The 13,463-nt window shown below is 41.7% G+C and overlaps 1 protein-coding gene across 1 annotated transcript in view; it reads right to left on the reverse strand.

The window, feature by feature from the left end:
• Positions 1–13,463, reverse strand: part of TNFRSF21 (TNF receptor superfamily member 21) — a 78,374-nt gene that overhangs the window by 19,128 nt on the left and 45,783 nt on the right. The window contains exon 4 of the mRNA NM_014452.5: positions 2,597–2,862. Coding sequence (NP_055267.1) covers positions 2,597–2,862 — 266 coding nt within the window. The remainder of the gene's footprint in view (positions 1–2,596; positions 2,863–13,463) is intronic.

The following is a 13,463-nucleotide window of genomic DNA, read 5'->3' on the forward strand; positions in this document are numbered from 1 at the left end:
CAAAGCCCCAAATCCCCAGCAGTACCACCATACACAGGGAGTACAAGCCCATCACAGGATGAGAATAAGGAGTCTCAATTAAGCCCCCTGCCTTCTGATTCACTTGTTAGATGGGACAAATTTCAGAAATAAACAATGGACAGAGAGTAACATACTGTGCAATTACCACTTGAGCATCCCTAATCCAAAAATTCAAAATCCAAAACTTTTTGAGCACCAACATAATGCCACAAGTGGAAAATTCCACACATGAGTACTTAACACAAACTTTGCTTCATGCATACACTTTTTCTAATTTTGTATAAAATTACCTTCAGGCTATGTATGTAAGGTATATGTGAAACATAAATGAATTTCATGTTTAGATTTGGGACCTATCCCCAAACTATCTTATTATGTATATGCAAATATTCCAAAGTCTGAAAAAATCCAAAATCTAAAACACTTCCAGTCCCAAGCATATCAGATAAAGGATACTCAACCTGTAATAAGAACTGGCAGCCAAAAATCCATGTTCATTGGCTATTAAAATTAGAGTTAGAGCTGGATCCAAAACGCTGCTAGACATTGATGTATATTGTTGAAATGTGAAATCAAAAATTTAATATTGCCTTCTCAGCCTCCATCATAACTCAAAGGCTATAGCAGAACCAACGAGAAAGTTGTAGAGTGCTTTGACATTACTGTTCTCAAAAAATAAACAACAAAAAATAGCTACTATTAGAATCTTTTGGTATTATAGAAGAGATAAGGGGAAGGAAATAATTAAGGTGTACAAGAGTTTGGCACTTAGGAAGAAGCTGCTTTGTTCTCTCATTCGTTGACCTAATGATTTTATTATGAATCACTCTTTTTGACATGCACTCTCACCTTCTTATTTTTCCATGGGCCCACCACAGGTTTGGGTTAACCAAATCCTAACCTTGCATCAGTCATATGTTATCTTTCTTTTAGGCATCATCAAGGACATTAGGCGACTTATTCTCACGTATCTAAATCCTTCTTTGAGCCTTAGGCTTGTCTTCCAGCTCTCTCCTTAAAGCCAGTCTCTAAGAATGCGTGGCAATGCTTTGCCTCTAAACTCCCTGTATTCAAACTGCCGCCATTTTACTTAATTGGAGGGTTAACATCTCCCTCACTTTCCCCCAAATCCAGCTACTTAAAGCCTAGTTTTACTTGTGAATAATATTTCACACCTAAATTATTTCTTAGAAAGTCATAAGACACTGGTGTATGCCTCTGAATGTTTATCACTTGGGTCTATTAATAAGTATTTTTTTCTGAAATTCCACACTTCAAAGAAGTTAAAAATATGCCAGAGCTTTAAAAGACCACCTTCAAAGTCAATTAGCACCTATAAATTGTTATTATCCAGTTACTTGGATAAAAGATTCACCTGATAAATGATTACATCAATTGTCAAGAATTACTGCGCTATCAGTATAAAAAGATAAAAGCATTTGGACTTCTTAAGTACATAAAGTATACTTAAACGTAAGTATAAAGTATGCAAAATGAAATACTTTGATACACAAAATGTGATATAGAATGATAGTAAACTGAATTGATGTCATAAAAAATCTCTACCTAGCTCTTTTAGGTAACAAATTTGGACCACTGGAATAATAACACAGACCGGCCCTTTAAATCTTAAGTGGGTTTTATCTAGTCTTAGTGGCAGCATTTTCTTTACTTTGGGAATATGTTCTGAAACCTGAATTGAAGTCTGTGGAAAATATGATTCAATATCCAAATCTGAACTTTATTCATGGCCTTTCAGGGAAGTACATACAATTAAAGAAAGGCTAAGTAAAATGAGTTACATCATGGTCGTAACTACCACTTGTAGAACACTTTCAATGAGTCAGGCATTTTATATGCTTTATTTCTCATCTTAATCTTATATAGCAGACTTGAAAATGTGAATAACAGAGGCAAGGAAAGTTGAAGTAACTTACCCTTCATCACCTAAGCTAATATGTACCAGAGCCAGGATTCAAATCCAGCGCTGTCTGGCTCCAAAGCCAGGGCTTATTAGCTATAAAGAAATCACACTCCTGGGTCCCCTCAGTTCCCATCTGATGTGCTCCACGGAACAACCCAAGGAGGAGAATCAGTTCTGTCATCAACTGCCGCTAGCACCACCTGCATCCTCAGGAGGCAAGAATGCTGCCTTCATAAGCCACATCACAAAAACACCCTCTGGAGGAGAGGCGGTGTAGTAAAAAGTATTTTTTCTTGGTTTTGTTCAAAGTGTGTCATGCAAAATGGATTGTAAATGGAGTAACAAAGAGAGCTTTTACAAATACCGATTCACGCTCTGCCCCCTGGAGATTCTGATGTGACTGGTCTGCAGGTAGGGTCTGAGCATCAGTATTTTTTTTTAAAGTTTTCTAGATGATTCTAATAGACGGCCACTGAGAACCCCCGTCCTAGAAGGTAGGGTGTGTGTGTGTGTGTGCAGGCGTATGCGTGTGTGTGTGTGTGTGCCTATCCACCGAATATGTTATTTTTCTTTGTTCCCATACAACTGATAAAATTTGAAGCATAGGGGCAATAGGTCGGTGGTAATGACACACAACAAGGGCTCCATTACCTGGGTGGTGTCTTCCATCAGCCCACGAATCTTCTCCACAACATCGTTTCTCCGGTGCTGGCGCAGGGCGCTAATTAGCTGGGCGAGGCTGGCCTCGGGGCCCCGGATGGTCCAGTGCTGCAGAGCTGCGTAGGCCCGCTCGTGGTCGGCTGTGTACCCATTGGAGAAAGCAGCAACCTCCCTCTCACTGGCATTGCAAAGAAACTGATAGATATCTTTCCACTGGCTTCCCACTTGGGCTGCTACAAGCTTCAGGATATCGATACCTACACCAGAGAAAAAATAAAAAACAAATGAGGGCTTGTAAGGGAAGCTTCTTACATAAGGCAGCTCTGCTTTAATGAATGAACTAGAAGAGGCACGCTTTCCTATCGCTGTATGTCAAAGGAATGCATTGCCTCCCTTAAGCACTTGGCACAAGCAGCTCATCTTGTGGACTAGCTGGTACCCTCATACAAATTTCACTTCCTGAGTGTGGAACCAGAAGAAGGAATGATCATGGAATTATAATAAATCAGACCCAAAAAGATGTTTCGAAAGCCAAACCCAAATAAGGTATTCACGGTGATTCCTCTGTTACTATAGTAATACACCCTTGTTGAAGGAGAGGGGTGGATAAGTTCCAAGATCCCCAGTGGATGCCTTGAAGCCATGGATGGTACAGAGCCCTATACATACTACGCATGAATTTCTTTTTCCTTCTTCACAATGTATGGATAGAAGATTCCTTCTTCTTGTAGATCTTAGCAACCTCAGCATACAATTGACTTTTCTTATTAAGTGGGGAACTTTCATGTTTTCACTTAAAGGAAGCACTTTATGGCCGCTGGCATATCCAAATTATCAGCATCACTCCTCTCGAGCTTTGGGCCAATATTAAGTAAAATAAGGGTGACTTGAACACAGGCACTGTGGTACCAGTACTGAGACAGTCAATCTGATAACCTAGACGGCTACTAAGTGACTCACAGGCAGGTGAGGTCTCCAGCATGGATATGGTGGACAAAGGGATGATTCCCTTCCCCAGCAGGACAGAGCAGGATGGTACGGGAATGTGAGATTTGATCGCATTACTCAGAATAGTGCATAATCTAAAACTTATGAATTGTTTATTTCTGGAATTTCCCATTTAGTATTTTCGGACCACAGTGGACCACAGGCAACTGAAACCTTGGAAAGCTAAACTGTGGATAAGGGAGGACTACTGTACTAAATACAATAGTAACCAAGTAAGTTAGAGGCTCCCATCTAAAAACATGGTGACTTCATGACATTTAGAAAAAGGGAAGCTGCAAATTAAAACTGTAATGGACTTTACCCAGAACTGTCTAGGTAAAAGGTTTTCAAATTCTGGGAATGGTGTCCTTTATATCAACTAACAGTGTGCCCAGCTGTTCCAGGCCAATAGAAGCATTCCTGAAGAACACCTAAGTTGTGCTCAAATTCATGTTCAACAAGCAATTTTCTAATTCATTATTCAGTCTTCCAACTTGGCTTGCATAGTTATAATGAAGACAGCAGCCAAAATGACTGTATAATAACAATAGCTATTATCTTCCAGGTATTATGTTAAGGCATTAGCTCACTGAACATCTTTATAAGGCATTAATATTCCAATTACACAGGTAAGAAAAAAAATACACTTAGAAAAGTTAGGCTACTGGCCCAGTATCACAAAGGTAGGTGAGTTGGTTATTGAACCCAACTCACCAGTTTTGTAATTCAAATCCTGTATGTGTAACCACTATGAAATGTGACAGTATCGATGGTACCTTCCAAGATGAAGGAAATGCCTTGGCTTATAATGACTATGGCTGGTTAGTCTGACAGACAGCTGTCCCCAATGATTCAATATATTATCATCCTGGCTCAGCAGTCACTTGAAAACCCAGTGAGTGTGCATCTGTGGTCCCCAGATCTGATGAACAGATGAAATGGTGATGATGAAATTGGTGAAATGCAAAAATCAAATCTCAAGATCCAAAAACTCAGGATAAGCACCTGGCACCAACCGTTCGTGAGGGGAGGCTCTCCCTGAGTAGCTCACTTTGGTGTCTCTCTGTTTATGGCGTCTTCTCTCTGCAATTACACATTGGCTTTGCCAGGATTTACATGTGGGATGCATATATCACCCTTATAGTAAGGGCCCTGGTATTTTACTACAACGGGTGAGTGAGTCCTCTGAATCAATGTCATGTCTTTGGTTTTTTTTTTTGTTTTTTTGAGATGAAGTTTTGCTCTTGTCAGCTAGGCTGGAGTGCAATGGTGCCATCTCGGCTCACTGCAACCTTAACCTCTCGAGTTCAAGGGATTCTCCTGCCTCACCCTCCCAAGTAGCTGGGATTACAGACACCCACCACCACACCCAGCTAATTTTTGTATTTTTAGTAGAGATGAGGTTTCATCAGTGTTGGCCAGGCTGGTCTCAAACTCCTGACCTCAGGTGATCTGCCTGCCTTGGCCTCCCAAAGTGCTGGGATTACAGGCGTGAGCCACCATGCCTGGCCAATATCATGTCTTTGAATGAGGTCACGCTCACCTGCCCTGATAACATAGCTGTTATAGTTAACAATATCTTAAAAAATATTTACTACTCAATAAAAAAAAATAGGGTCACATTCCCAAGTGAGGCTTAGGAGAGAAAGGAAAAGAGAAGAATAAAGAGGGGTTTACTGTTCTGATTTCTCAATCAAAGGTTTCCTAGAAAAAAAATAAAAATATTTTTTGCACCCATCAGTTGTTCAGGAAAATATTTATAAAATGAGCTATCAATTATTGCTAATAAAAACAATAATAATTATAAAAGTTTCTGTAAAAACGAAGGACGCTGTGGCTCCTCAACACGCATTCTTACTTTGCCAGGCAATCCTATTGAGGCAGATGATGTGGAAGACTGTATACACATTCTGCACCAATCCACTGAAAATGGTTTTCAAAAATCAGTTCCTAGTAGAAGGCTGTTTTCCTGTCAACTATAAAAGTAGAATGGATGGGCAGGGTGGCTCACACCTGTAATGCAGCACTTTGGGAGGTTGAGGCAGGTGGATCGCTTGAGTCCAGGAGTTTGAGACCAGCCTGGGCAACATGGTGAAAACCCATTTCTACAAAAAATACAAAAATTAGCTGGGTGTGGTGGCATAGGCCTATATTCCCAGCTACTTGGGAGACTGAGGTGGGAGGATTGCTTGAGCCCCAGAGGGGAGGTTGCAGTGAGCCAAGATTACACAACTGCACTCCAGCCTGGGTGAGAGAGGGAGACTCTATCTCAAAAAAAGTAGAATGCCACAAAAAATTTAAAAAGGATGCCACAAATTGAGTCATTACTGTACTTCTCACACAGTTTTCCCTGGCAGTGTGAAGTTACTTGAACCAAGTCCTTTTCAGTTTTCCGAGCAATGTTTAGTCAGATACAGAGCTTTTGATTTCAAGCAAATAGACTCCTCAGAAAACCCATAACTGATTTTAAACCCTGCAGGTAACTTTAAGGAATAAGCCAGCTCTTTGTGATTGATGTGGTAGACTCTTCCAAACACCAAAAGTCTTGTTAGTCCCTGAATCTTAATTTAGATCAATTTGACTAAGGTCCACAGTGTCTTACATGAAAACATGACCATGTTTTCTGGTAAGTAGGACCATTGCTTAAATCTTCATAATGCCGATGACAGTGGCTTTGGGCAAACCTCTAACTGTCATGTCCATTTCCTCATGTGTACAATGGAGAAACTCACTAGGGTCACTGCGGATAAGCTGATTAACATTTTCTATAGAGTTACTTTATTTTTGGAAGTGTTCCCATCATTATGAAAGCTCCATACACAGAGGACTAAACTTAAGGCTCAATGCATTTCAGATGCAAATACACGGCCTTTACGAAGTAATTACAGAGTTTAAAAGGTTTAAGTTTAACAACCCCTCCTTCCAAAACCCAGTACTGTATTTATCCTTTTTTTAAGCCACAAAATAAAGAAAAAAAGAAAAAAAAACCCACAAAGAATAGATACAATGAAATTTCCCTAAACTAAAATGGACTGGAAGCTAAATTTAAGGCCTACAAATCAGGTTTCATCTTGTTCTCTCTCTCAGCTAGATTCTCTACTATGAAAACATGGAGTCAACTCCATGAACTGGCTGGGGTCGCCAATGTTCTTCACTGCTGTCCTCTCCCACCGTGGAGTTGATAAATCAAAGATAAATCAATGACTCCCTCAGGGGATACCAACCTTTTAGTCTAGCACATTATCACAAAACCCCAGTGAGGAGACCAGACTGGGGCTTTGAATGCCTTCCTTGTGTAGGAAAAAGTGTTAGTCAAAAGAAAACAATCAACTACAGAGAAAAGCAGGAGGACGATTTGCCAAATTGAGATAGTTACCTCTTTGGGGAGGGGGAAGGAGCACAGAAGGGATTTCAAAGGTATTCATAAAGTTCTGTTTCCTAGGCTGGACAGTGGAGAAATGGGTTTTCTTTTCATGTTATTACTTTTATTTGAGATTTATTTTACTATTCCTTTTTAAACTATCTATATAACATACACATATATAAGATGTGTTTATAAATACTTCATAAATACACATGGTTAAGTGTTCAATTTTGTTGGCAAGGAAATCGCATGTTGGGGTTGGTGACTAGTGCAAGGTCACCCACCCAGTTAGTGATGCCTCAATTGTGGTTAATAGGGAATGTGATGCAGTGGAGGAACATTATTATTTGCTGGAATTATTCTCCTCAGGCATGGCCATCCAGCCTAGGATGAACGCACTCAAGGCTGGCCACAGTGTGTGTGCTGCCTCCTGGTCTGTTATTACTGACCAAGCATATGTTGGTGCAAAAGTAATCATGGGCTGGACGGGTGGCTTATGCCTGTAATTCTTTGGGAGGCTGAGGTGAGTGGATCCCTTGACCCAGGAGTTCATAACCAGCCTGGCCAACATAGCGAAACCCTGTCTCTACTAAAAATACAAAAAATTAGCGAGGCGTGGTGGTGCACACCTGTAATCCCAGCTACTCAGGAGGCTGAGGCAGGAGAATCACTTGAACCTGAGAGACAGAGGTTGCAGTGAGCCAGGATTGTACCACCGCACCCCAGCCTAAGCAACAGAGTAAAACTGTCTCAAAAAAAAGAAAAAAATAAAAGTAATTGTGGTTTTTTTTTTTTTTTTGGTCACCAAAATGGCAAAGACCACAGTAACTTTTGCACCACCTAATAGACACTGGAACAGTTTCCCCAGGGACTTTATTTCTTTTCTTGTGATCTCAGCTCACTGCAGCCTCTGCCTCCTAGGTTCAAGAGATTCTCCCAACTCAGCCTCCCTAGTACCTGGGACTACAGGTGTTCACCATGCCCGGCTAATTTTTGTATTTTTAGTAGAGACGGGGTTTTGCCATGTTGGCCAGGCTGATCTCAAACTCCTGACCTCAAGTGATCTGCCCACCTCAGCTTCCCAAAGTGCTGGGACTATAGGAGTGAGCCACTGCATCCTTTATTTCCTTTCTTTAAATCTATGATACCCTAAAAGAAAGAGAAAAAGAGAGAGAATGAAAGAAGTCAGCAAACTTTTCCTGTAAGGACAGCAGTAAATATTTGAGGCTTTGAAAACCATACAGTCTCTGTCATGACTCCTCAGCTCTGTTGGAGCATGAAAGCAGCCACCAACACCACAAATGAATGTGGCTGTGTTCTAATAAAACTCGACTTACAAAAAAAGTAGGCTGGATATGGCCCACGGGCTGTAGTTCACCAGCCCCTGCAATTACAGCAATTTAAAGAGACCTTGGGTAGGACTGTCAAATAGCATAAAGATTTAGAAAAGCATTTCATTAAAAGAAAAGAAACCACACTCAGAAGACAATGAAAGTTCCCACCCCAATTATTAACCTCAATGTGAAATGACAGTAAGTGACATGGAGACCACCTCTCTGCTTGGCAGGATGCCCAGTCATCTGCCCCATCGGAGTTCCCAGGGTTTTTGTCAAGATTGGTGACAGTAGCTATGTGTTGAATTGATCTAAATTGTTTAACTGGATGTGATGCCAAGTGTCTTTTTCCTTACATTGAAAAGTAACACAACCCTCAACCCACTGAAGGGCTGATAGACAGGGGCACAGAACATCACATTGCCTTTTTTTTTTTTTGAGACGGAGTCTCACTCAGTCACCCAGGCTGGACTGGAGTGCAGTGGTGCAATCTTGGCTCACTGCAACCTCCACCTCCTGGGTTCAAGAGATTCTCCGGCCTCAGGCTCCCGAGTAGCTAGAACTACATGTGTGCACCACCAGGCCCAGCTAATTTTTGTATTTTTAGTAGAGAAGGGGTTTCATCATGTTGGCCAGACTGGTCTTGAACTCCTGGCCTCAAGTGATCCACCTTCCTAGGCTTCCCAAAATGCTGGGATTACGGGTGTGAGCCACTGTGCCCTGCCAACATTGCCTTTTCCCGTGGTGCCAGATCCTGGAGCTCTGGAGAATGGATGAAGTTTCTGAGGAGGTCATCAAAGGAGTCAAGCCCTATACATCCGAGGCTGTACTAGTTAGGAACTATCTGAGAAGGTGGCCCTGGCCCCTGGAGAAAAGCATGAGGATGGGAAGGATCAGGTAGTGGGAAGATCATTGGTAGTAGTCACAAGATATGGTTTCAAACTCCAGATTTGTGACTTGTTAGTTGCATGACCCTGAGCAAGTGGCAACCTCTCAGATTTCACTTTTCACTTAAGTAAAATAGAAACACCCCCTCTTATCTGGTAGAGTGGTTAAGGAGATTTATGCGATCAAGTATTAAAGACTCCTAGGGTGGCATATCAGTACAATTCGGCTCTGCTTCCCCTGCCCCTCCATTTCTGCTTGGACAAGTGTCATTGGGCCAATGAACCTAAAAGATGGGAAGAGTTCTGTACAAACACAGGTTTTAGCACTGGGATTATTGGTGCTGAACAATGAAGCCAAGCACCAGACTCCCGGCTTCCTGTGTTTCTTGGAACCTCACACGTACATGTTAGGAGATGGCTGAAGTCATCCACAGGAGGGTTTATGTGGAAGGAAAAATGCTGCTGCTACCGCCTCTGCCACATGCAGGGCATCACAGCAGTACTCAATGGGTTCTTCCAAGTGAGCTGGTACTGACTTGATCCCCAGCAGGAGAGCTCAAGAACTGAGGTATGAGCTGATAAACTGGGTTATTATGGAAGAAATGGCAATTTCCAGTGCATCATAAAACCTTGAATTACATATTATCTGGGGGACAATCCTAATTTGAAGCTCATTTTTTAAAAGCTGAATATCAGCTTCAGGATGCAAAAATGGGTTCCTTCTCTTTTAATAAAAACCCAAATTGACCTTTATAATTAGAGAAAATGTGAAGGCTGTTTTCCTTTTGGAGATAAATATCTGGAATGAATGTCATCAATGAGAACCCATATCAAAGCCCTCCTTGGATGAGGTATAAAGGACAGTGAAGACAAAGCTGGAGGAAGCAAAGGCTGCCTGGAACTATACAACATAGCACTCAGTTTCATGCTGCACAATCAGGCTTCGTGCAGAATGGGTGCATCTAAGAGACAGGTTTATAAACTTTTTGATGGTATCAAACTCATCATATAAAAAGATTCAATCACCCCCAACACATCTTGTTACATGTAATGTCAGTTCTCATTATTCTTCTAGAAAGAGAGTGTAAAGGGACAAATAATGAGAAAATTCCCAGGGAGGCAATTAATACACAACCTCCTCCCAGGACAGACAACTCCACAGTTATCCCTGTGCCAGTTTCTCAACACACAGCAGTCTCCTGAGATGTACACATGGAAGACGGGAGACATGAACTCAAGACAGCCTCCCTTCTAACACCCCCCCAAACCTCCCTAAAAGACATGCTCCTAACAGGCACGCACTGTGTCCATAACCTTACAAGCTGCAGATACAGGGACAGAGATGGCCACAGCACATACAGCAACTATACAAAGCAACATATGTCAAAGTCAGAAATTGGAATAAAAGCCTGGCTTTAGCATTACTGGAATTGATGTTCCACATACAATGGTCTTGTCCTCCAAGATGCCTTTGAGGCCAAGCCCAAGACCACACTGCTTTGACTAGCAGCATCCCCAGCACCTGTCAGAGGAATACCACAAATATCTTTGGATAAATGAATGAGAGTCTTTTTTTGTCATCCCTGCCCTCTTGACTGACCCTCCTCACCATTCGTCATCTCATTAGCTTCTGTAACCTAAGCCACTGAGAACCTGAGTGGCCCCAGGCCCACACACACCCTAGCCTTGTGGCCCTGCCAGATCTCTAGCCTCTATAATAATGAGAAGAAAGGACAACAGTTCTATGGTGTCCTATGCTCACCACTGGGTGAAACCTGGGCTCCCAGGGACCCTGTTCTTGTACAAGGGCCTCTCCCTCTGCCAGTGCCCTCTTCCCATTTAGAGTGATCCACTACGTCCACTTTAGTGGCCAGAGCTCATAAGCAGGAAAGTTCTCCCAGATTCTCCCACTGCAGCAAAATCCTTCTGCTGGGATCAGCTGTCCAAGCTGTGGTCTCTCCAGCCTAATAACAGAGTAAGTGCTCCTAAAAGCAACATACCCACATGTACCTGTGTTTCATAGTAACCAGTATACGATAGCATGGTTAAAAATTTGTATACCAACAGCAGTAACTTCCAGTGCATCCACTACACAGGAAACTGCTTTATTAGTGCTAGGAACTTTGTATGCCCCAGGTTAAAAATAGTCCTTCCCTAACTGAGGTGTAAAAGTTAGAAGATCTGTTTAGATTTTACTTTAGCTGCAAAAAATTATTTCTGAAGCAGAATTTATCACTATCTAGTTGAAGGTTTAATAGACAATAACCGTAAGCTCAGATGAACCTTGGGGACTACTAAGAAAGAGAAAGAAAAAAAACAAAAAACACCGTGCAAAGATCTCTTGAAGTAAATGGACAACATGTTTTCCAACGATAAACTATCAAAACAGTAGACAATTTTCCAAATGGAAGAAATATCACTGATACTGTGAGGAAAATGGATAATCTTTTATTTCATTCCACTGGGCAAAAAACAAAACAAAAACATCCCTCCTTCCTGCTTATCTTAGTCTGTTTTTGAAGCTATCTCAAATGTCTGAAGCTGTTAACTTATTCATTCAACAAAAATTTACTGAGCGTCTACTTTGTGCCAGACACTTTTCTAGGTACAGGAGATATGGCAGTGAACAAATGCCAAGTGAAACAAAATCCCTTTCTTTGTGAAGGTTACATTCCATTGGGGGGAAGTAATAAAACATAAACTGTGTTAGATAGGGAGGAGAGCTAAGGAGAAAAATAAAGCAGGTAAAGAGGATAGGGTAGGAGGTGATGAGGCTGCCACATCTAAGAGAAGCCTCACAGAGGTAGCATCAAGCCCCTAATGGAGAAAGCTGTGCAGATTATCTGTGGAAAGAGGGTTCTGGGCAAAGGGAGCAGCAGGTGCAATGGCAGGAAGGGTATTGGCATGGACAAGGAGGAGCAGGAAGGCTGGCATGGCTGGAGCAAGTGGGCCAGGGAGAGGGACCAAGAGGAGTCGCAGAGAGAGAAAAAATTGGAGTCAGGAGAGTGCAGATCACATCCGGCCTTTAAGCTGCTACTATGCATTCAATAAAAAGTCACGGGAGACCTTGGGGAGAGAAATGACACAATCTGACTTTACATTTAAACAGTATCATTCCAGCTGTTGTGCCAAGAATAAACTGAAGGGAGCACAGATAAAAATGGAGCAACCAGTTAGAGGCCACAGCAGTAATCCAGCAAGGAGGTGATAGGGGTCTGGGCCAAAGTGGTGGCCATGGAGGTGATGGGAGGTGGTGGACTTCTCCATGTATTTTGAAGGTAGAGCTGACAGACAGGATTTACTAATGAGCCAAATAAGGGGTGAGAATGTAATAAAGGAATCAAGGATGCTAAGGTTTCATCCTGAGCAAGTGGAAGACAGGGGACCACTTTCTGTGATGGGCAATTGATGTGGAGGTATGGTTTGTAATTTGGTGTTAGACATCTTAAGCATGAGGTGCCTGTTAAACATCTGGGTCTGCCAAGCAGGCAGGAGCATATTTCTATCGTGAGTGCAGGTAAAAGGTCCAGGCTGGAATATGCACTTGGGAATTACCAGCAGATAGATGGTATTTAAAGTCGTGGGTCACCAAGGGAGAGAGAGTGTGTACATTGAAAAGAGGTGCAAGCACTGAATCCTGGAGCTCTCCACTGTTTAGAGGTCAGGAAAATGAGGAGGAACCCGCCATGGAAACAGAGAAGAAACAGCCCAAGATGGAGGAGGAAAACCAGGACAATGTGGTATTTTGGAGGCAAAGGGAAGAAAGTGTTTCAAGGAAAAGGGAGGCAACAGTGTCGATTGCTGCCAATAGGCCAAGCAGAGGAAAACTGAGAACTGAACAGTGGCATTAGAATCATGTTGTCACACTCTATGGAAAAAAGGTGAGACTGCAGCTGAAAGATCACCATATTTACTAATTCTAAGACACCTGAATGTATATTTTAATCAATGTCTTTTCATAGTTTGGTTGCATTATTTCCTTTCTCTACTTAGTGGTATATAAAAGAGTGGTATGTCTCACAATTAATTGTGTGTCAGATTTGGTGAAATATAGTTAAGAGGTTTTTTATACTTATAAATTTGAATTTACCTATTTGTTAAAATTTGACACAACATCAATAAGCCTAATATGTCCAATTCTATACATACATTGCCATGTTAGCCACCAGTTACTCATGAAGAACATCAGCAGAATTCCAGAAATTCCTCTTCTTCTGCAAAATCTGCTTACATAATACCTGACCAGGTTGACTCAAGGACATACATTTTTAGATTTTTTTTTCCTA

Source organism: Homo sapiens, chromosome 6, assembly GCF_000001405.40.
Source record: "Homo sapiens chromosome 6, GRCh38.p14 Primary Assembly".
NCBI classification, from domain to species: domain Eukaryota; kingdom Metazoa; phylum Chordata; class Mammalia; order Primates; family Hominidae; genus Homo; species Homo sapiens.